Source organism: Homo sapiens, chromosome 2, assembly GCF_000001405.40.
Source record: "Homo sapiens chromosome 2, GRCh38.p14 Primary Assembly".
NCBI lineage: Eukaryota > Metazoa > Chordata > Mammalia > Primates > Hominidae > Homo > Homo sapiens.
The window spans coordinates 206,969,475-206,995,072 of NC_000002.12; the positions used below are offsets into that span (position 1 = coordinate 206,969,475).

Here is a 25,598-nt window from a genome sequence, read left to right on the forward strand (position 1 = left end):
AGTGTGGCTGGAGGAACGGTGTGTTATGGTTGTAAAGAAACCAAATAATTTAACTAAAAATACTTCCTATTTCAATAAGGAAAAATCATGTCTGCGTTTTAATATTTGTTTTTCTGTGAGTTGAGCTTTATTCCTTTATACGAGGAATTAGTTAGGTATTAGTTAGTTATTGCTACAATAATGCTACAAACCAAACCTCTCTAAAACCAAGTGGTGCAAATCTACAGGTCACGATGCAGTGATCTTTGTTGTTCTCGCTTAGGCATCCATGGTCAGTTTCAGGGCAGCTGGTAGATCTCGGATGAACTCACTCTGGGGGTTGGCTACTGTAGGCTAGTATAGGATAGCCTCAGCTGCAATGAGGAACGGGGGCTGTGCTCCATGTATCTTCTCGTCCAGCACATTAGTACTATGCACTCATGGCCATGGTGAAGGAGCAAAAGCAGCAGAGCAAGTCTCAATGTGCGGGTGCTTTTCAAACCTCTGCTTGCATCCTATTTGCTAACATCCCATTTGCCAAAGGAAGTCACATGGCTGAGCTCTGCATCAAGGGGTGGAGCAGAACAGAAGGTGGTGAGTGAAGAATTGGGGCCATCAGTGAAATGACTCTATCTGGTGTTTATATCACACCCTTGAGCTTCACTGGCTTAGCTTCATAGTCGGTAGCTCAGCTACAATTCGAGGCAACTCAACTAGATGGCTATTATCCTATTCAGCTTTAAACGTGGAGAAGCCTGTGAGTTCCAGTGGAACCCCACTGCTCTTGAAATCTAACTAAAAGTCACACAATGAGATTCTGATAGGGCCTTTTGTGTTCTACTAATTTTTGTGATTTATGATCTCAACATTCACTAAGGAAAATGAAGTAGGAATAGGTCTTCTGCCTGGGGGTCTGGGGATTTTTTCTCATCTGTATTCTTCAAAAATTTTGCTTATACTTTTGAACCAGGGTCTTGCTTTCTTAATTTTGTGTTAATGAGTTAGTAGCAGCATTCAGAGGATAAGTTATACAATCTCTCTTGATGACTGTTGCTGGTTTTATTTACTTATTTATTCATTAAAAAAATTAAGGATCTACTAGGTGCATTTTGATAGGTTCTGGGGTTACAATGGTGAATAAGATAGACATAGTCCCCGTCTATTTGAAATTTATATTCCAGTGGGTGAAATCAGGACTAGAAGCCATAAATAATTGGAATGGACATGCTGTTTCATACCAGGTGAATCCCAGCTCTAGGGGAGTACAATAAGCAAGAACACAAATAAAGAAACTAAATATTGCGGTTTGTGACACATACTATGAAAAGTCAGTAGAGAGGAGAGGAAGGCCCACATTGTACGTGTACGGATATCTAGGCATTTAATTGTGCTATCTCATCTATTAAACTGTGAGTGCTGTTAAAGTAGCAGCCATGACTGTCATTTCCTATGTATCTCTATGTGACACCTTGAAATGGTGCTAAGCAGTTGTCAGGCTTCGAATAAATGTAGTTGTGACCAGCTGACAGGGCATCCTTGGGTGTTCAGTCACCCATTGCCAAATTTCCTTGTTGGTCACAGTCACAATACACTTCTTGGTTGTAACCCTTTTATTGCCTTTCTTTGTCGTCTTTATTTCTTCATGTTTTGCTAGTGTGTGGCTGATAAGGGTCAGAAAGGAAAATGTCAGAGGCAATAGGGTTTAATGAATCAGGGAACTGCTATTAACATAAAAATGCCAACTCCACAATTGTGGTATTGTCAGGAGGAAATGGTTTGGTTTCATCAACGGTCAGGCTAGAAGGGAAGAAAACTAGTGTGACCACCCAATGCTATATTCAAGAAGAAAGCAGGGGAGCTGTGCTTAGAGACACTGGTTATCAGTGTTCATCTAGCTTGGGTTTTATCTCCAAGGCTATTTTAAAAATAATTCAGACCTCTGAGTACTATGGGAGCTCTGATCTACAAAGTTTAATTCATGTCTAGAGATGGAGCTCATGGGCAAATAAAGTCAGAAGAGAATAGAGAGAAACTCAGTTAATCAATCAGCTTGCCTGAAACCTCCCACATGGATTTTTCCAGATTTCAGGATGTGATCATAGCTTCCTTGAGGGGCTTCGCCTGTCTCTGGGGGAATAGGATACTGGGACACATGACACATTTTTTACTGCTTCTGGAAGTTTTTTTACTTCCTGTGAAAGAATCCTAAGAACAGGGATAGAAAGATGGTGAATGACCACACTGATCTTTCTAAGAATGTTTTCAGCTTCGTGGTGGAAAATGATATTTGGCTGGGAAAACTTCACAGCTGATGCTACTAATGCATTCTTGAGAGTATCCTGTTTGTAGTTTGGTTAGGTCTGGGATTTGATTTCATCCTACTTTAAAGCTAAGAAGTTAGTTTGTTAATGCTTCATGTATGTTAGTAGAAGGCAAGAAACTCCCAGTCAGAGTCAAAGGACACTATTTCCCAAAGCACATGAAGCAGCATGAGCATCAGCATATTTACAGGGATTCCTCCTTCTCCCAAGCACCAAGAGGATGATGCAAAGAGCCCAGATGCCACGTGCACATGCAGCGAGTTGTGCAACCGAGAGAAACACTAAACTTTGGAATTCACTGCTTCTACAGCAAGCAATAAGCAAGCCTGATCTTATCCCAGAAGAAGACATGTCCCCATCACTCAAGGTTGCTTGCTTACTGCAAATAAAACTGAGAAATGGCCCAGGTAAAAGTGGTCAGGGCCTTGCATCCTTGGCCCAGCTAGGAAGATGTGCAGGAGAAAAAGAGGTTCTAAAGGACTGTCTCCCAGTAGGTTTTATGTGCCAGTTTGAATCCTATGAAATTGCTGCTTTTGTGGGTCAACAAAATTCAAGTATTGGTGATTTTACATGGTTCAATTTAAGATTCTCTCAGTGCTAATCAAAGTATGTTTATAATGCCTCCTTTTTTATTTTTAGGAAGTTTGACTATTCTGCCTTTTCTGTTACTATTTCTGTCTTTCCACCAAACTCTATCAGTGCTTTTTCCATAACTATTCCTACAAAGGATCTAGATCTTCTTGACTTACAGGTGAATTTAGAGTTTAAAATGATGCAAAATAATAAATGCAGGTGATATACAAGCTTCTAGCTCTAGGGTTTTTTTTTTTTTTACAGCACTGTCAAAGTGAGTTATATTTTTGTTTTCACTATGTATGACCAAGCTCCTATTTCTCTTCCTTATGCAGTTTATCAGTCTCCTGATATGTTATTAAAAATATATTCTTTACACCACCCCAGTATTATTCATATCTTATGTATATCATTTGAATCTGGTATAAATTTATTATGTCACTAAGAGAAGCCCACTGCCCAAGAACATAAAATTGCAGTACTAAATACAGAGTTTAAAAAAAAACTATTAATAATTATTAATTTATTTTATGATGTGCAGCGATTGAAATATTTTATGTGTATTATCTTGTGTGAAGATGTTACCAGAAAGTCCCAATCCAGACCCCAAGAGAGGGTTCCTGGATCTCACGCAAGAAAGAATTTAGGGCAAGTCCATAGAGTAAAGTGAAAGCAAGTTTATTAAGAAAGTGAAGGAACAAAAGAATGGCTACTCCATAGACAGAGCAGCCCCAAAGACTGCTGGTTGCCCATTTTTATGGTTATTTCTTGATGATATGCTAAACAAGGGGTGGATTATTCATGCCTCCCCTTTTTAGACCATGTAGGGTACCTTCCTGATGTTGCTATGGCATTTGTAAACTGTCATGGTGCTGGTGGGAGTATAGCAGTGAGGACGACCAGCGGTCACTCTCGTCGCCATCTTGGTTTTGGTGGGTTTTGGCTAGCTTCTTTATTGCAACCTGTTTTATTAGCAAGGTCTTTATGACCTGTACCTTGTGCAGACCTCCTATCTCATCCTGTGACTTAGAATGCCTTAACCTTCTGGGAATGCAGCCCAGTAGGTCTCAGCCTTATTTTACTCAGACCCTATTCAAGATGGAGTTGCTCTGGTTCACACACCTCTGACAATACTCATAAGAATCTTGAGTTAGATATTTTATTTATTTGATGAAGAAACTGAGACAGAGAGGTTAAGAATATGCCCACCCACGGGCACACGTTTGTTTGTTTGTTTGTTTTTAGAGACAGGATCTCACTCTATTGCCCCAGGCTAGAGTGCAGTAGCACAATCATAGCCCGCTGCAGCCTCAAACCCTTGGGCTCAAGTGATCCTCCATCCTCAGCCTCCTGAGTAGCTGTGACTGTAGGTGCACACCACCACATGTGGCTAATTTTTTATTTTTTTGTAGAGACAGCTATGTTGCCCAGGCTGGTCTTGAACTCCTGGCCTCAAGCAATCCTCCTACCTCAGCCTCCCAAAGTGCTGGGATTACAGGCGTGAGCCACTGCACCCGGCTGATAACACTGTTCTTAATGATTGATTAATTTTATTGGAATAGGGATTTTCCAGTTTTAGGATGTCAGAAGTACTCTCTAATGGATACTGCCAGTGCTTTGCCAAAACTCCTTCAGGTAACTTCTCCTGCATCGCTCTCCATCTTTGACGTGTTTTTGCCTCCAATGGCTCATACTCATGACTTTTTCCAGTGGCTACCCTTGAGCTACTGCATGTACTTTGCCTGCAGCTACAGGGAGTTAGAAGTGTGTGACAGTGACACCTGTTAGAAGAAAATCTTTAGTCAGATTAAAGTTAACAGATTTTAAGTGAGCAAGGAATGATTCACGAATCAGGCAGACTCCTGAGCTAGAGTAGGCTCAGAGAGACTCTGGCAAAGTCACATAGTGGAAAAAGATTTATAGACAGAAAAAGGAAAGTGACATATAGAAAACCCAAAGTGAGGTACAGAAACAGTCAGATTGGTTACAGCATGTCCTTTGCCTTATTTGAACACAGTTTGAACAGTTGGCCCCCTTTGATTGGCCAAAACTCTGTGATTGGCACAAGAGTAGGTTACAGTCTGTTTATACCTCCATTTAGGTTATGGCTCACTATGTACAAAGAAACCTTTAGGATGAACTTAAAATATGTAAGAAAGCAGCTTTAGGCTAAACTTGATTTAATACATCCACCACCAGAAACCCCCAGTCTCTGCTTAGAGGGTAACGGATGAGTCCAGGGGTGTGAAAGCCCAGTTCTCTTGCAGTGGGAAGTGTAACTATTTCCAGAGATAGTGTGGGATAAGGTTAAACTTACTCTCCAAAGAACTTGCCTTGAGGTTGCACCCTTGCTTGGCTTCCTCCCTTTCTTTGTCTTGCTTCCTCACTCCCGTACTAGTTTATTTTGGGAGTACCTCCTTAATAAATCACTTATGCATGACTCCTCACATCTGGACCTGCCTCTAGGGAACCCAATGTAATTGTCAGTGTTTTAGAATTATTACCAAAACATCATAAGTTTTTAATTTCCTAAAATAACCTTTAATACAAGTATTACTATTATTCAATATTCAGAATATGCCTGGAGATTACAAATGTTGTATGAATCTATTTTGAATATTTTCTCATTCTAGAATATGAAGTCTTCTTCCAGATAAGACTTTCATTTCAGCATAACATATATTTTTAGTTGAACCTCTTGTTGAAGGCACAGTAAAAAAAAGATTAGTCTTTATGGACTTGTAAATTTTAAAGTATTTGGTGTTATGATAAGACTTTATGAGAAAATAATAGCCACTTATTATAGTTTTCCACTCTACTGTAATCAAGACTGCATAGTCTTTTCTCAGCTACTCTGAAAAAGGACTTTTATTTCTGTCTCAGGATTTATTCATTTAAAATAATTAAAAAATAAAGCTCCAAAGAGCTTTAATGCTGAGTGTATTAAGTCTTATCCTGCCAACATGTTCCTTTCCTACAGAGCTCTTATTATGTTTTTGCTGAGGATTTAAGAAAAAGAAAAACATTTTTGAAAGTCAGCTCCAAAATGATGCTTCCAATAAAAGATGAACAGTGTCCTTTTTATTTACATAGATGGTGCAAAAGCAACCACAGAGACACAAAGGAGGCAAAGAGTAATGTGTCTTCCCATTATGAGTTTGAACCCACAAAAACCCAGTTGACTAGATAGAGGATCTTGAGAAGGTGAGGTGTAAAGTCAGGTTAGGATCAGGTGGTTGAAGAGCCTGAATGCCAGACCAGAGTCTAAACATTCTCCCTATAGGCTGTGGTGAGTACTAGCAGAAGTAGTAAAGCAGTAAAGAGGCAGAGGGAGTAAAGAGTAAGGATTACTCTGGAAGGATGATCTAAGGTGAAATAATTAGAGGGAAGAAGTCAGGAAAAACAGTTCAGAAAATATTATGCTGGGCATGTAACCACCCAATGGGTTCATTTTGCCCCCTGCCTAGATAGAGCTCCTTTACCAAGACAGGGGAATTACAATAGAGAAAGAGCTTAATATACATAGAGCTGGCTAAACGGGAAATGGGAGTTTTATTATTACTCAAAGCAGCCACCCTGAAAATTTGGAGGCTAGAGTTTTTCAAGGATAGTTTGGGAGGCAGGAGGCTAGGACAAGGGGAATGCTGATTGGTTGGGCATGCAATCATAGGGGTATGGAAAATGGCCCCCACGTGCTGAGTCTACTTCTGGGTGGGGGCCACAGAGGAGTCACTAGTCCAGGTGAGGCATCATCAGAAATGCAAAAGCCTGAAAAGACATCTCGAAGGGCCAATCTTAAGTTTTACAATAGAGGTGTTATTTACAGAAGTAATTGGGGAAGTTGAAAACCTTACGACCTTCAAAATAATGGCTGGTAATCTAAGGCCTACATCTTAGCATAAATCAGGCCCCTCATACTCCTAATATGGTGGCCTTCCATTAGTTTTACAAAGGTGGTTTAGTTGGGGAAGGGCTATTATCATTTAAACTATAAACTAAATTTTTCCCAAAGTTAGCTTGGCCCAGGAATGACCAAGGGCATTTTGGAAGTTAAAGGCAAGATGGAGTTAGTTAGATGAAACCCCTTTCACTGCCATAATTTTCTCACTATTATGATTTTTGCCAAGGTGGTTTCATACACACATGAATTGAATAACAACTAAGTTGAGTTGGTGGCCACAGAAATTTCCATTCTTTCCCCACAAAGGGACAGAAATCAGAGAGGTTATTCAGAAGGATTCAAGTATTATAAGATCATGAGAACTTGTCTTCAATCATCTTTGTTTCATCCCTGAGAAAGTATAATAATGCTGAAAATTGACTTATAGACCTACAGAAGCCAGAAGGGAAGCAGAATGGAAAAATGAGGAGCCATGTGTTTTCAGATAGGAAATAGGAAATGCAGAATTGTCACGCTGAGGTGTCAGTTGAAATTCAGGGTTAGTTTTCAATCTTATAGTCAGGTGTTGAGTCACATGCAACCTTCATTTCAAGCTCATATTTCAAACCTCATTCAATATGGAAACTTGAAAAAGCTTTTAAAAAATTAAAAACTATAATCTCCATCAGTTTCCTCTTAGACATACGCTAATTCACCCTATGGCATTTCCTTTATAATTAGGTTTGCAAGTCTATCACTTTAAAGGTTGACTATTTTCTCAAAGGCTGTTGCTTCAAAGATTTGTTGTGCAGGAGAATTCTTATTTCAAATAAAAATTTACCTTGAAGCATAAAATATAAGTCAGATAAAAACAGAACTGCTCTGATTTGGGAAGGCTGGGTAATGGGTCTAAAGATACTACCTGTCCCCCAATTTCCCTGCAGACCTGAAGCACTTACTACTCAAATTGTGGTCCAGGGCCAGTGGCATTAGTTTTAGATGAAAGCTTGCTCAAAAATCAAATTTTTCAACATCAGAACTTGCATTTAACAAAATCCCTAGGTAATTTGATGCTCTTGAAAATTTAGGTAGCACAGCTTTAGAGTGCAGACATCACCTGGAAAGTTTGTTAAAACACAGATTCTTGTCCATATCAATAGATCAGTGGTAGAGCATGAGAGTCTGCATGTTTAACAAGCTCCCAGGTGATGCTGATATTGCTGGTCCTCAGACTACTGCACATCAAGTGGCAAGAAGCTAGAGTAGTGATTCTCCACTGTTAGTGGGCATCAAAATCATCTGGAAGGCTTGTTAAAACCTGAGCTGGTGGGTTCCATCTCCCCATCAGAGTTTCTGATTCAGCAGTGGGACAGAAGGCGGGAATGTGGAGAATCTTCATATCTAACAAGTTCCCAGGCAATGTTGATGCTGTTTCTCTGGGGAACGCAATAGAGCATTTGGCTCATAATTAGGAAAAGTTGCCACTAGGTAAGCAGAGGTATCTTGATTTAGTTTTCGAATAAAAAGAAGTAAAATACAAAAGAAAGACAAAAGTTTCTGCCCTTAAGGATCTTAGAGTCTAGTTCAAAATGCAGAAAAGTAAACAAACACCTCACAAAATGGTAAGTACTAAAATGAAGAGCACGTGCAAGCAACTAGCGGAGAAGAGCCATTAACTCAACCTCTGTGGGGCGGGCATAGGAGCGGGCTAGGGAAGGGTTCATTAGTTTTCTTAGAATGTGAGAAAAACTTGGAAGTAGTCTGATTGCTTAAATGATCTGCACTCTGTACAAGACACAATCTTCAATTTGAGATCCTGATAATAGCCATGGACATACCAGTTAATTTTACATTTGTAATTAAAAATAATCTCAGCATCTTTTATGAGGCAGGATGCGGTAGTTGGGGAGGAGTGTTGAGAATCAGGGGTTTGCAGCAGAAGCAATGGAGAAGGGGCTAAACCTGAACATGCCCTCCCTCAGAGTGGGGAAGAGGCTGGAATTAAATCATAGTCAAGAAACAACCAGCCAGGCGCGGTGGCTCACGCCTGTAATCTCAGCACTTTGGGAGGCCGAGGCGGGCAGATCACGAGGTCAGGAGATCGAGACCATCCTGGCTAACACGGTGAAACCCCATCGCTACTAAAAATACAAAAAATTAGCTGGGCGTGGTGGTGGGCGCCTGTAGTCCCAGCTATACAGGAGACTGAGGAAGGAGAATGGCGTGAACCTGGGAGGCAGCGCTTGCAGTGAGCCAAGATTGCACCACTGCACTCCAGCCTGGGCAACAGAGCCAGACTCTGTCTCAAAAAAAAAAAAAAAAAAAAAAAGAAATAACCTGGATGTCTCTGGCTCTTTACTTCTCAGAAAGTCAAGCATCTGATGTTAGCTCCTGTTCCCAAATTCATTGGTTCATATAACTAAAAGATCTGAAGGGAGTTCAAGAATAAAAGAATCCAGAGATTCCAAAGATGTTATCAGAGTTTAATGAGTTTCCCTATTTTAATTTTGCATCAGATCTTTTTCTGTTGGTTTTATTGAAGCAGGCTCTTTCCATGTGAGAGCAAAATGCAACCCCTGCTCTTATTGTCCTTCCGCCCATCCCCTGCAGCTCTAGTCCTGGATCCTATCCTCTCCACAACCCTGGAAAAAAAGTGTTTCTCTTTTGTAGTGATTCCAGTACAATTCCCAAAGAGGGACTGAATGGGCCTCCATGAGTCAAGAAGTTGGAATATGCTGTTGTCCCAGCCCAGGTCACATGTTCACTCATAGACCAGCTTCCCAAACCACGTAGGTTGAGATAGGAAATAAAATCAGGCCGCTTATGTTGGAAGAAGAGTGAGTAGACACTGGTCAGTTAAAAAGCAACAACTGGCTGGGTGCGGTGGCTCACGCCTGTAATCCCAACACTTTGGGAGGCCAAGGTGGGTGGATCGCCTGAGGTCAGGAGTTCGAGACCAGACTGGCTAACATGGTGAAATCCTGTTTCTACTAAAAATACAAAAAACTAGCCGGGCGTGGTGGCAAGTGCCTGTAATCCCAGCTACTTGGGAGGCTGAGGCAGGAGAATCGCTTGAACCTGGGAGGCAGAGGTTGCAGTGAGCCGAGATTGCACCATTGCACTCCAGCTTGGGCAACAAGAGCGAACCTCCATCTCAAGAAAAAAAAAAAAGCAACAGCTTCCCCCTAACCCAGAAAAAGCACAGGGCCTTTCTACAAGTCTCAGAGTTCACCCTAGCAGATTCTAAGTGTCATATTCTCAAAAAGAAGGTAAAATCATTTATTTCTCAACTATGTGCTGGGCATACATTCAAAATTAGGTTCAGGATTCCCCAGAGCAAAGCCAAAGTCCATTCTACTCACTGTGTCTGCTTAATTGTAGCAACCATGCCTCTGTGCCCTTACACAAAATCTTCAGGAATCTATTTTCATGAACCATTCCCAGGATTCAGGTAAGTGAGAGACACTCTAGGGAAGCGTTAACATCAAAAACTCTGAAGCCATATTGCCCAGGTAAAGCTCCGCCCAGTCACTTCATGGCTGTGTACCTGGGCAAGTCGCAGAACATGTTTGTGTCTCAACTGCCTCATTGATAAACTGTGGATAAGAGGACCTACCTTACACTGCTGTTGGGGAGATTAGGTAGGTTAACGTTTGTAAAGTGCTTTGAATGATGATTTTCCATGACAGAGTGACTTGTCCACCCTAGACCACCTACTCTAATCACAATGTAAGAGCTTAGTAAATATTAGGAGTTAAGACTATTAATACTAATGATACTGTCAGAAAATGTGGTGTCTGATGCTCCTGCCACAAGAAAGCCTATGTTCCCAAATCACTTTCATTAGGGTTTTTCTCTAGGGCTAAATACAGAGAGCATGTCCAAACAGGTGCTATGGCAGAACCCTGATTCAGCTTTGTTTTCCCGGAGCTGAGCTGAAGCAAGGTGTTATCTGAGCTTTTCAGATGTGTGTCTCTGAAGGTCCAGGATTTTCAAAAGATGAACGTTTAAATCTACTTTCAGTGTGAGGCCAGGGAACAGAAGAGAAGTGGAAATATCCTTGGCCATTTCTTGTAGGTGCCCAACCCAGGGATCTGCTTATTGCAAATATTCCTGTGGCCCCTCCTTTCTCCCCAAATTAACCAGGATGCCCAAAACTTGAACCCAGGCTTGCAAAGAAAACTAGCTACAAGAGGCATTTTTAATTAAGTGCTGTTAAGATCACTTTGGCAGTGGTGATGGGGTTTCACAGATATTATTAAATAATAGAAAAAATGTGTATACATTTTTCTGGAAGAAGCATACAGACATTTTCACATTTTAAAAATATTTTTCAAAGAGTCTGTAACCCCCCTTTCAAAAGATAAGAACTGCTGACTCAGAGGGATACTAGTTGAATTTAAGCAATTCAGGTAATTAACTGAAATCAATCAATTCAATTAATGAGAATATGTTCTTATTTGCCTGATAATCATATTTTTGTTATTTTAAAGGAAAGCTGTTGATAGAGAAATGTTATCCCATTATTTTTCATGATGATGGGACTGATATCTCCCCAGATGTATTTTTGCTTTTCTAGCCAAAACCTGACAGCTAGCCTCCTCTAGTCAGCAGGGTTGCTTCGAAGACACAGTTGTGTGTGCTGGTCTTCATTTGCTGTGAGTCTAAATGGAAACCTATAGGTGCTTTTCTGTGTCTTTGGTGTTTTCTGAAAATATCTCATTAGACATCTCAACATGCTGGTAAGGTGGAATCTCAAACAATCACCACATAGCAATAGGGCCGAAGAACTCAGGGCTTCCTCCACTCCAACACTCTGCCTGTGCATGTGACTTCTGCTCCAAGTCCTTGGTCCAGTCCTTAACCCATTTATGCCTGAGGTTGCAATTTTTTGAATTTTTGCCATCAGACCTTGGCAATGACCTTGAGCAGTGGGATATAAATAACTTCCACATGGTTAGCGTTGCAATAATGGAACGCTAGGCATAATGATGTAAATAATGTTGGCACTTCTTCCAGAGATCCCGAGGGCAGGATCCTACTGGTGCCAGGCACTCATTTACAGTAAGCAGCGTCTGTTACCAGCCTCAGGAGCAGAAGGTGAGAGTAATGATCACGGATCTCTGCACCAGTGGCTTCCCCAACCTAGTTACTTGTTTGTAATTAAGATGACAATGCAGCCGGGTGCGGTGGCTCATGCCTGTAATCCCAGCTCTTTGGGAGGCTGAGGCGGGCAGATCACTTGAGGTCAGGATTGGAGACCGGCCTGGCCAACATGGTGAAACCCTTTCTCTACCAAAAATATAAAAGATGAGCCAGGTGAGCCAGGTGTGGTGGCTCATGCCTGTAATCTCAGCTACTCGGGAGGCTGAAGCAGTAGAATCGCTTGAACCCAGGAGGTGGAGGTTGTAATAAGCCGAGATCATGCCACTGTACTCCAGTCTGGGCGACAGAGCGAGGCTCTGTCTCCAAAAAAAAGAAAAAAAGAAAAGACAATGCAACACATTTTCACTTCCTTCAGGAATTAGTACATTCCAATTTGAAGGGACAGGAGAAGATGGCTAGGTGTGCCCAGATCTTGGATTCTAAAGACAGAAGGCCATGAACAAGTGCTTGTTTTCTGGTTGGTGGCATTGGAGGAAGGATGATAGCAGGCGCCGCACACAGAGGGTTTTCCAGGAGGTGGCAGTGCGCCCTAAGGCTGGATCTTGGCTGTGCCTGCCTTGTGTATCAACCAAAGAATATTGTAATTGAGACATAACATTATAATGCATTCCAGACCACACAGCTACTCGAGTGTCACCTCAAAATGCTTCTTACTAGTTTCAAAGTCACTGTAACCAGGGTAGGGAGCTGGAAGCGAGGTAGAGGGTGGGAAGAAATGGGAGGGAGCTCTTGGAGACAAATCCGGCAGCGACACTTAGCATTGCTGTGAATGGAGTTTCAATACCATCAGACCAGGAGATACCCTGATGCATATTTACAACTGCTCCCACGTTCACCTCTGAAGACCAATAAAAGAAACTGAAGGACTCATATTGTCTCCATTTTAATTCCCAGGTTTACAAGAAATATTTCATTATTCTAATTCACAGGGAAATAAAGCATCTTCCCTTTTTAAATGAAAGGTCTCCTTGTTCAGGGTGAAGAGCAAATCAAATCAGTCTCTCCCCTGAGAGGTAAGGTTGGCCCCAGATACCAGACTGTGAGGTGAATGGCCACGTGTGGATGATGGTGATGGGAGGAGGGAGGAGAAAAAAGAACACTGGGTGTTGACCAGATCGTGCGTGTGAAACACACATAAGAGATGTATTCACACGGAGTCCATCACAGGCAGGGCAGATTGACTCTGTAATTTCCAATGCCTGACAATGACATCTCGGGACAGACTAAGTGATGGAGGAATAAGAGGGAGGCTAGGCAGGTGTCTTTCCCCTGCAATAGGCTGTTGGCTGGGGTGCTGGTTTACGCAGGCACATTTACAGAAATGAAAGAGCTGGATAAGATCAGAGCAAGGAGTGCTACAATGACTCCTTAGTGTTGTCACATCGTTTACTAGACACATTTCTCGCTTGGGAGCCTGACTTCCTGTTTACACAGTTCTTATTTGTATTTTTTTGTTTATAGCTCCTTGGACTTAGCCAGAGACCTCCATATGGATGAGAGAAGAGTAAAGTCAGCCAGGTGGATTGCTTGGGAAATCTGTGCAAATGAAAATGATACTTAAAGAAAAAAAGCCCAGCCTTTAAATGCCTTTGAATTCATCCAGAGTCTGTATGTGGTTTCCCTTTAATTTAGAAAACTAGTTGCTTTCTGATTTCCTCAACCCTCTTGCACTGGAACTTTGTTCTATATTCTCCGCAAATCCCTTCTTCTGCAAAACTCTCTTTATTCAGCTCTCTTACCTAATTCTAAGAGTGATCCATGTTGAGAACGCACAGAAGTAGTGTTTCCATGCCTTGCTGGTAGCAATCAAAATATACCTGCCTTTCCCATGGCCGAGTGATGTTTTTAAAGCTAAAAAACAAAGCAGACAAACAAGCAAAACATTTACACACCAAAAAACTGGTTTTCAGTGCTGGGGTGATGTTCTTCCTATGGCCCTCTGCCAAGAGGCCAGGCCTTCCTAGCAGCGACCAGACTGCTTTCTGGACAAGTAGGGAGAAGTGCCTATTTTGCAGAGAGTGGGAAACCATTCACCAAGTGCAGAACTGGGTTATTTAATGGGGTGGTGGCAGCTCAAGAAAGCTCATCAATAATCAAGTGAGGGGGGCAGGAAGGGGAAGACTGGAGAATTACTGAAGCAGGTGGGCTTTCAGCATGGGGACTCAGCAGAAGGCAGGAGTGGAATGTAGACTCCTCTGGGCAGCGCAAGACACAGAATGTTCAGATTCCCACAGAAGAGTAATGTGCAAGAGGTGAGATGCAGTACATTCCCTAGAGGCAATGAAATCATCAAGAAAACCTATAAACATTATGGTGAGGTGGCAAGGTCCTATAAACAAAATAAGTACACATTGGATAGATCACAGAGAAAATGCATGTTAACTCTTTGCAACCCGTACAATAACAGGAATCCCAAACAGAGCACACAGCTAGAACTCTTAAGACATGCAACAGTCCTAATGAGATACCAACTACCCACTCTAGTGAGAGGAATGCATGGTCTACCCTCAGCTCATTATGATGTTTATGATTCCTGCATTCAATTGTTTTCCAAAGATAGCTTTTCAGCTTTTTGTTTGAGTCCCAATCTAAGGAATCAAGTGTTTGCCTGATGCCAAAATATCTAAATCCAGGTATTTCCTACAGTCTGGCAGGAATGTTATATCATTAGCCATATTTAAACTCAGAAATAACAGCCATGAAGATTGTAAAGGTGGTACCAGGATGATACAAATTATTCATGGAAAATGGTGTCATTGTTGTGCAGAAAGGGCGCAGCCCTAAAAAGCACCTCATTCAAAGTCAGTAAGTGCAGGAGATAATGTTCCTATTCGTCATCACGGAGAGAAGCATACAGTGAGGTTTACAAGGAAAACCCGTATCACACAGCTCCAGAACATGCAGCAAGGCTGCAGCTTTTAAATGTTTAGAAACATTTAAGAAAAATGTCATTTAAGAAATATTAAGAAAGAGTTAAATTTCACAGGCCAGTGCAGGAAGATGGTGGGAAAGATATTGAGACATCTTTTACATGATCATATTACTGACCTAGGTTTCTTTGTGGTTCCTGTTGGTGGTAACATTTGCATTGAGTCAGCTGCCAGATCTGCAAAACGCATTTTCTTCTGTTGTTTTTTAAGCTTAAAAGCATAAGACTAGGAGCAATATCTAAAATCATTTGGTCCAAACTTTAATATTTTAGCATGGAACTCTTTGCAAAAAAACAAGCAAGAAAATAAAAACGTACCTTGATAAATCTTTATACACTTAGGGTTATTTCGTTGTAGGCAAGATAAATTAATGAGCTAACTAAAGCATAAGGAAATTCACTTGAAAGATACTAATGCTTGCACCTGATTGAAGGGAGGATGTAAGCATGAGGCTTTGAATATACAGGTAATTCTCTCTGTGATGAAGAGAAAGAACATTGTCTCACACACTTACTGACTTTGAATAAGGTGCTTTTTAGGGTTGTGCCCTTTCTGCACAACAGTGACACCATTTTCCACGAATAATTTGTATCATCCTGGCACCATCTCCTCAATCTTCATGGCTGATATTTATGAGTTTAAATACGGCTAATGATATAACATTCCTGCCAAATAGTCAATAGGAACTATCTGGATTCAGATATTTGACCATCAGGCAAATGCTTGATTCCTTAGATTGGGGATCAAACATAAAGCCATATTTTGAAAAATAATTTAATACTGCACAACCAAAGTGGCAACGAACTTTTACCTTTTCTTTTGCCATTGTAGTTGCTGGTGTGAGGGTCAAACTCTAAGGGGAGAGAGTCTGATTAAGCTGGGGTCACATGTTTGGCTGTACCTAGGTGGTGAGAGCTTCTCGTAGAAACCAATAGCCTGTGTGGCTTATAGTCAGGACATCTTGAGGCTTTATACAATATGAAGGGTGTAATTCTTCACATGGAAATTTGGGAGCTGTTAGAAGAGAGGAATGGGTGCTGAGAAACAAAAATTCATCAAAAACACACACACACACACACAAACATGCACCCCACACACCAAATAAAGCAGATGAACAAAGCTGAGGACAGAAAAGGAAAGGAGCCTGGAGCCCAACCCCTTACCCATTATAAAAGTGTCTGGGACATTCCACGACACAGAATGGAAACCATTAATGTGACTCGTCTTCTGAAGATTTGGTATCATGAGATCTAATTTATTATTCCCCACATTTTCAGGGCATGCATTCCACACTATCTTTCCATCACTATTTCCTTCAAAAATTCTTAATGATCATAGTTATAATTTAAATATCAACTCAATATTGACTGTTATCAAAATGTGATTGTGGAAATCACTTGTGTAGTCTCAAATCTGTATGACTTTCTACCTCTGGTCTCGTGATATGATTGTACTTCTTCAACTTCTTTGAAGTTAGGTGTGACCAGGTGTTGTACAAAGAAATGTGAGTGGAAGGGTTGTACATGACTTCCAGGCAGAAGTGTTAAGAGCCAGTGCATAGTTTGTGATGCTTTCTGTCTGCAGCTGCTGTGATCAGGTAAGCACATGGTGAGATAAAGCCTGCGTCAGCCAGGCTCCCTGACTATGGTAGGAAGACTCCCCTGCCGATCCCTGCAGAAGGTATTGGGTTAAGCCACTGAGATTTAGGGATTGTTTATTACTGCAGTTTAGCAGATCCTTACTGATATATCTATTTTCTTTTACTCTGATATCATAAAAGGAGAATATCTTGTTTGTTCTTCCAAAAAGATACTTAGAATTATGGGTACTCTGTACCCATACAGAGATCATGGACTACTGGGCAGAAACTGAGGCTCAGTAAAGTAGTAAAATTAGTATACTAAACCTTAATATTTGTCTTCTCCAACCTCCTTCTGATATGGTTTGGCTGTGGGTCCCCACCCAAATCTCATCTTGAATTGTAGCTCCCATAATTCCCACGTGTGGTGGGAGGGACCTAGTGGGAGGTAATTTAATCATGGAGGTGGGTCTTTCCCGTGCTGTTCTCATGATAGTGAATAAGTCTCACGAGATGTGATGGTTGTATAAAGGGCAGTTCCCCTGCCACACTCTCTTTCCTGCCACCATGTAAGACGTGACTTTGCCCCTCCTCACCTTCTACCACCATTGTGAGGCCTCCCCAGCCACATAGAACTATGAGTCATTAAGCCTCTTTTCCTTTATAAATTACCCAGTCTCGGGTATGTCTTTATTAGCAGCATAAGAACAGACTAATACACCTTCTAAGGCAGGAATTCACTTGGCTATATCCCTACTTTGAAACTACACAGACATGGGTTTGAATTCAGGCTGTGCCACTTACAAGTAATGAGATACTAAGCAAGTGATGTAACCCCTCTAGACCTCAAGTCCCTCATTTGTAAAATAGGAGCAGTATTTTTTTCTGCCTTGCCAGATTATTGTGAGGATTTGAGATATAAAGCACGTATCATGTAAACTGGCATATAGCAACCTAGTATGGTGGTTGTTAACCTCCCTTCTCTTCTTGGACACTTCCAGAGGCAGCATAGACTCATCACTTGGTAACAAACCAGTTTCATCACACAGAACATGTCTAATTGCTAGCAAACTCCTTCTTATTCAGCATAAATCTGCCTTAGCTTCTCTCTATTAGACATTTGGTGTGCTTCTTTTACCTTCTTGAACAGCATGGACCAGTCTTAGTCTTGAATTGTAGCTCAATTGTAGCTCAGTGTTGTCCACATGACAACATCATATATCTGAACACAGCTATCCTGTTCCTTCTAGAGGTCTTCTCTCCTCTCAGAAAAACATTCTCAGTTTCAGTTTTCATAAAATTGAATTTCTAGACAACTCATCTAACCTGGGGACTGTGTTTTAAAATCTCTCTGTAGTATCTAGTAATTAGTAGTTGCTAAATAAATATGCATTCCTCTACTTCTGAGTTCAGATTTCTGAGGCCTTTAATATGACACCTAGGGCTGAACACACCTTTGATCTAACAAGCACAGAGCACAGAAGGAGCCACCTTCTCCCACATTGCCTGCTCCCTACTCTGATCTGATCTGGATACTGTACTTGTAAATGCAGCATGAGATGGCAAATCTTTTATTTAAAGCGAAGTCATGCCACAACCAGCTCATGGTCAACTAAAATTCTTAGATTTTTAATAACTAATTGTCAAGTCAGGGCTCTTCTATGCTGTTATTGCCAAGTCAATTGTTAACCTAATTAAAGAGTCTTTATCCCATTATATGTAATATTATTGTTTTGGGCACTAGGAAAGTCTACCAAACTTTCAGTGTCCTTTTTCTGTCACCTAACTTATTAGCTATTTCTCCCAGTTTGAAGTGTCCCCTGAATCTAATCAGTATGCTGCCCTCATCATTAATAATTGTTTTGACTAGGGCAAAGATAGAAATCACTTTCAGGGTGGTAGAATTCATAAAGTGACATTCCCTTGGGGCATGTTACTTTCACTAGTATAGTGGGCGTCCATAATGTTATCTGCCAGTGGCCTTTCTTAGAGAACCATCTTTTCTCTTTCATATGGCCACAAAAGTAGGCTTCTGGGGTGTGTTTGTACAATGCTACATTTGCCCCAAACCTTTGCTCCTGGCTGCTGTGCCAAACTTCTATTTACCTCAGTGAGGAAGGCACCAGGTTCAAGAGGCCAAAGAAGAGACCTAGAACCAGCAAACAAGACATAGGGTTTCATTAGAGGCTTACATATAGAGGAGAGAGTCCAGTGGCAGTGGTTGAGCTGGACAGGATATCTGCCTTACCTATAGCCCAGGGGTTCCGGACAAGATATCCATATGGCCCAGTGGGGAACCACTTGAAAACAACATGCAGTTTATATAGCATTTTCACTTAACACCCTCCCCTAAACGACCTCCACCTGGCAACCTTGATTTAACCCAAAACTCAGGGCCTCAATCTCCATAAAGCTTGTGTTCCAGGGGATGGGTCTGGGGCTCTGACGTTTCTCATAGACAAGGAACAATCTCCATGTTGCCCAGTCTCAAGTTCCCTAGCTTGGAGCACACCTTCAGATGCATCTGCCATCCAGGGTCATTCTAAGGATGTGCTTAAGCCACTGCCCCCAGGTATGTTTATCCTACACTGGCTAAGATTGATTGGTCCAGGGCTAACTTGACACAGGACCAATGAAAATTCCTTCTACTGGAACCAAAAATTGGGACAATGGAGTCCAGTCCAATCTCCCAGGTGGAAGCGAGTGAAATATTCAGAGCTTTATCATGACTGTGCTTTCCTCCACAGGGCCTGGTGGGCAGAGAAGAAAACAGTGAAGCAGGTGCAGAGGTGACAGAAAGGAGGAAAATGTGGGTGGCCTTCTACTGTGGCTGACCTGCAGCCCATAGATCCTCTGTGGCAACCTAATTCTTTTTTTTTTTTTTTTTTTAACAGAGTCTTACTCTGTTGTCCAGGCTGTGTGCCTCAGCCTCCCGAGTAACTGGGATTACAGGTGTGCACCACCACACCCAGCTAATTTTTGTATTTTTCGTAGAGATGGGGTTTTACTATGTTGGCCAGGCTGGTCTTGAACTCCCAACTTCAAGTGATCCACCTGCCTCAGCCTTCCAAAGTGCTGGGATTATAGGTATGAGCCACTGTGCCCAGCCTGCACCCTTATTCTTTGAAATACATCATCTTTTTGCATTCAGTCACTTCAGAGGACTGTCTGTTACTGGGAAACCACTGAGTCCTAATTAATTGAAGCACCTTCTGATTCTTATAACCCATTACTCATCAAACCCACCTTGAACCAAGGCTCTGACTTCTGTTCCATTTATTTGTTAGCTTTTGTTTTGGTTTTTCTTTCTCTATCCCAAGTAGCCTCTGTTTAAAGCCAGGTTCTCTAGAACCAGAGCCTGAGGTAGAGATTCAGGTGATCTGATTTATGGAGGGGCTGCTCTTCAGGAAATGGCTGTACGGGAGTGAGAGGACCAAAAGGAAGGGAAAGGGTTGAGCCAGGAAGTGGTTTCAGGTGAAGTCTAGACTTGGCTTGAGGCCCAGGAGGATCAGAAGACAAATGCACCACAGATCGGCCCCAGCTCGAGGACAGGGGGCTGGATTTTTGTGCCTTGTCTGTCAGCAACTGACATGGGGACAGGGAGGGAGGTGGGCAAGGCAATGCGGTCAGTTATTAGCAACTCCCCAGCAGCCCTCTAGCGGCTGGGGAAGGGCTCTGCAGCCTGATGAAAGGTAGGAGGGTGGGGTGCCCGCCCTGCCTACCACAGCTTTCTTCATTCTACCTATTCCATCATCTTCCTTCTTCCAGCAGGCCACTTCAGGGACAGGTCCTCTCAGACTGCTTAGGACAAAAAGCACCTGATGAATCCCAGTGGTCCTTTTTTACCCTTTGTTGTTATATATATTTTTTATTATTCTGTAAAATATGTTAAAATTAGTATCAAGAGTAGAAGCCATTATACGAAGCCCATTAGGGCAGGGGTGGGTGGTGGTGCCCGTCATGGTTCTGCACATTGCAGTGGATACCTGGGATTTTATTGCCTATGTCCATTCCCCCCTCTTTCATGATGACAGCACCCCAGATTTCATTTGGGAAAAAGCCCCACTTCCAATAGGAGTGATCTGACTTTGTTCCAGGGGTGAGTTCTGATTGATGCAAGCTGATCTGCAAAGTCCATCTACCCCTTCCCAGGCCTCGCAATTACCTTTGAGATGAGAACACAATCTAATTTGAACCAATAAAATGCAGGGAGACTTTGAAGTTCCAGGGGGAAAATGATTCCTAGCTCTTGGTGAAGACTAAGGAAAGATGCTTTCTCATCTTCTGATCGGCGTGGGGAAAGGATGTGATGTTTGGAGACATATAACCATTTCTGGAACCTCAGCCTGGGACCAACCTGAAGAAAAGATCTGACACCCAAAGTGGATGAAAGCCTCTCAAATCCATGGCGCCCCTGAGAATATGGTGAATCTCTGCCTCAAACCATACCTGAAGCCAAATACCTTGAAGCCGTCAGTATGTGAACCAACAAATTCCATTATTTGCTTAAGCTAGTTTCAAATGGGTTTTTGTTTTTTGAAACATAAACTATCCTAAGTGATAGACTGCAGCGAGTGGGAGGAGGAATAGATTACATTCGGGGAATGTCACCACCCACTTGTTTTTGGCAAACTTTCATGTGTAAACTCTCCTCTTAAGTCTCATAATTTGTTCAGATTTAAAAGCTGGAACAGACGATTCAGCATCCCCTATAACCCTTCATAAAGCATCCTGGCCTGAATGCTGAGTGCCTAGCCTTCCACTGCAGACATCTGATTTTAGGATCTGGTTTCTGGTATACTAAACCATTGAAATAACATCAGCTTCATTTGGAAGACCTCCAATTGTTAGCAGAGCTTTGCAGAAACATCTCCTGAAATGAGAAGAAAATGACCTCTCCCATAGGGGTCTCTTTGAAAGTTTATTAATAAAACATTTGATTGAAACTGTGCATTAATGTCCCTCTGCAACCACTTTGGAAATCGTAAAAGTGCTCCAGATAGCTTAGGATTTACATGTATCATTTCATACTGTGCCCTATGCTGTCCTAGAACTGATTCCAGGCCTGGGCTAGGTACAAGAGTCCATGGAGAGCTGCACAGGGGACACGGCGAATCATGATCTGGTCCATTTTTCTTCCTCTCCGCAGCCCTTCTAGAGCTCTCTCCTATGAGGGCTGTGGAATTTGCCTCATGCCTGGAGGTTGTGGTGCCCCTAGATGATTTTTAAATATAATAGTCCCAGTTATTATCATAGTTAGATATCTCTTTGTTTCTTTTCTCCATTTACGGTGCCTAATGCCATCTTTGACCAGATGGAGAATGCAATTAAAATAAATATAATGTAATATAAAAATAAAACAGAACATATTGCTTTTGCAGGGCAATCTGGGCCCAAGATTTCTGCAGTGGAAATTACTGGCTAAATAAACCTATCTCCTCATTGACACAAAGCTGCGAAGAGAGATTGGTTACAACAACAAGAGAAAGAAATGTGATTATTTCCTAAATTGAAGCAAAAGAAGTTTTGTCCAAATGGAAAATTATTGAAGCAGAAAGTTGAGGTTTTTTAAAAATTTCTTTTAACATAAACACCATCAACAAATTCAATAACATCACAGTGCAGGTGCTACAGGGGATGACAAGATGAGCAGGGAGAGTCATCTTCCAGAAGAAGATTCTAGTTTAATTGGGGAGAATACATGTACATGGAGGGAAAAACAGAAATACACAGTGGGTCAACTTAAATAAAGAGATTGTTGTGGCTCTGCTCTGGCCAAGGCCCTTCTTCCTTGTATGGCGGCATAAGGAACTCATCCTTCCCAATAAGACATTTCTAATACAGAGTGGCTGAATAATAACCTTGACCACTAAATCAACATAGACCCTGTCTCATTAAAGAGATCTTTGATACAAGTAACAGACTCCAATGCGTGAAAGTGAGAATTTGTTGGAAGGACCCATGTGTATCACACAGAACTCAACAACGCTTCATCTCTAGGAAAGAAGAAATCAGAGCCTGGAGAATCAGTAGGGACCAAGGGAGCTATTGCAAATCTTTCTGTGGCACTAGGGCTCCTTGCCTCTACTTCCCTCCATGTGCCTACTTTATTTTTCTCTCTTTTCACACCTTTTGCACATGGAGAGACAGCTCTATCACAGCCCTAGCATCACACTGCTTCCTAACATCCAGACCCCCAAGTAACTGATGACCATACTAGGTCCAAACTCCTAGCAGAGAATCTAATTGGCCCAGATTGGGGCAGGTGTCCATCTCTTCCAATCAGCTATGACCAGTAAAGTAACTGTTGGTCAGTACAGAAATAGCTACAAGAGTCCACCCATTTGGGTAGGTGAACAGTTCCCAGAAAAGGGGCTGGGAAGATATACCAAAAGGTCTTCTACTACAAATTTGGTTACAATTCATTATATTCATTCCTGGCAATGTATTAAATTCTTTCACTTATGATCATTTCTGTGGTTGCAAGCCATAAGAGATATCCTTATTCGAGGTAGAATTTATGTTTGATCTCTAAGTCCCATGTCTAAAACTTAAGATCATGGCTGACATAAAGTCTGTACCCTTAGAATAAAGTCCTATCTATAATCTTTATTCTTTTCAACTGTTCCCTTTAGAACCATACACATACTAACTTAGCATATCAAAATTAGTATAGGCAAAGTTTTACCCAAAGGATTTCTAATTCTAGATAAACAGAGAGGTTGGGAAAGATTAAAGAGCTATATTCTATCTATTGCATGCCAATTGGAATATCTGAAAAATCAAAAAAGGAAGCAAACAAATAATTATTCCAGAGAGAAGTCTGATCAGAAGGCGTATTACAGTCATGGTTAGGTATTTCTGTTGATATCTTGATTATGCTTAACCAATTATAGATCTTTTATTTTTGTTACTCTTCAATATTTTGATTATCAATGCAGAGAACAAATCGTAACATTTCTTGAACATTTGCTACATGCAAATCATTTTATTTAATGTAAGGATAACCACTTAATTCTTATATTAGTCCCATGAGGCAGATATTTATGTTATTATTTTGCAGATGAGAACATTAAAGCCCAGGAAATTTGAGTGGCTGGTCATAGTCACACAGCTAGTGAGCCTGTATTTGTCCATGGGTACAATAACCCAGTTCTGTCCACCACTCAAAATTTGCCTCCCCACACTGATGTCTCCCTTAAATGTGTATATATATAATTTATATGATGTATGATTGCATATCCACAGAAAGAATAACAAAATGCTTAGAAGTTCTAGGTCTTACCTCTGAAATCAATAATTCTACAACCTTAGGAAAATCAGTTCAACTTTGCAAACCCATTTTCTTCACTTCACTACACATAAAAGAGCTTCCAGCGGCAGGTGTCATGTCAAAGTACTGAAATGAAATGTTATACAGACCAGACAGTGGGTCCTCCTCAGTATCCCCACAATGTTAATTTCTCTGCTTCCTATCACTAATCATTGGATTAGTATGAGAGGTAACCAATAAAATAAAATAGCATCCTCTGTTTCCCTTGACTTCCAATTCCTAAAGACAGCTTGGAGATGTCTATGAAACTTTGGGTGGTAATAGAAGGGAAAAAGTTAGCTCTATTTTTAATAACTTGGTATTTTGGCTCGTGATTGAATCATCACTGTTCTCCCACTGCTGGTTCCTCCTTTCTGTATGCATTGCTCTTCCCTTCTTCTTCAGCCAGAAGGTGGAGTGGGGTCATCTTCTGAGCAGACCTGAAGTTCTTCCCAGCCAAATCACCCTAGTGCTATGCACAGAGCACTATATTGGAGAGTTGAAAGACCTGGGCTGGACTGGAAGTCTCAACTCTGCCATCACCAACTTGGTAGCTGGCGAATCAGATCCTATCTTTGGCCTTCAATCTACCTATGTAAAATGAGAGAGCTAAAGAAAAATATCTTCCTAGGCCCCTTCCAGCTTTAGTGTTTTATCACCTTGCATGAGAAGAGACAACATTCATCAAAGTTTACCTGGTCTCTGCAGCCAATCCTTTCCAGGGCTTTTTGGCCCTGAGAACACTAATGGGTTTTCTTTCAAGCCCTAGTTCTTCCTGCTTTCTGAGCCTAACAGATGTGAGGTCAATATACAGAGAAGAGCACAGCGGATGATATTCACTTCCCATGTCATTTGCACATTTCACTGTGACATTTTGTGGTTCATTCTGCATGTTTTGCTGATGTCTATCTAAAAAGGCATGTACTTTAAGAGGTTCCTTTTCATAAAGAATACTTGAGTGAGCAGGGCCTCCAGGCTTCACAACTCCCGGTATGAAAGATACCTCTAGATTGTGCAACCTGAGGGCCTATTATAGTGGTGGGGGGACTGGGGAGGAGGGAGCGGTGCAGTCTGTGGCAGACTTTGGCACAGCTGCTCAGGACTGTTATACGAGTGTCAGAGGGCACAAACTGGTTAGCACTTGGTTCAGGTATTTTTAATTCAGATATTTGAAATTCCAGCTTCACTATTTATTTGCCATTTGATCTCAGGCAAGATATTTAACCTCTCTGCACTTCCCTTTCTGATCTGTAAAAAGAGAATAACGTTCATTCCTACTTCACAGGATTGTTGTTGAAGACAAAAAAAAATCTTTCATATAAAATGCTTAGCAGAGTGCCTAGTAATAAAACATGTTAATTAATGTCATTATCCCTTCAAACACACATGCAAACATACAGAATAAATTTTTTAAAAGCAAAGTTTTGATTATAAGACACCAAGACCAATTTCCCTATTGCATAAGCAATAAGCAAAACACATACGGTTTCTCATTTCTTTGAGTTTTCAAGTAAAACTATGGGTATACAATTCAGAGCTGGGCCAAACTGAATTTCCAGGAAAGCAATACCTGAGAAAGTTTTAAAGAAGAGCAAGATTTGTTGGCTGAAAAACATAAACACATCTCAACCTCAGAATCAGAATGGGAGCAAATAGCACAGCTGGCCTCTGACCACTTACTAATGAACTGCCACCTGCATGAAGACCAGGGTACACTGGTCAAATTTAACTCCATTCCATAGCTCTACTCCATGTTCCTTTATTTCACTTCCTTACTGAGATAGTACATCCCCAAAAGGAGCTTAGGAAAACTGTGTGTTTTCATGCAATAAAGTTATCATGGAGAATGTGGCAGTGA

General features: G+C 41.4%; 1 annotated feature.

The window, feature by feature from the left end:
• Positions 12,364-12,513: a silencer, noted in NCBI's record as "silent region_12270". NCBI's record gives its function as "represses an Ori minimal core promoter by ATAC-STARR-seq in GM12878 lymphoblastoid cells {active_cell/tissue: GM12878}" and the evidence as "EXISTENCE:reporter gene assay evidence [ECO:0000049][PMID:35858748]".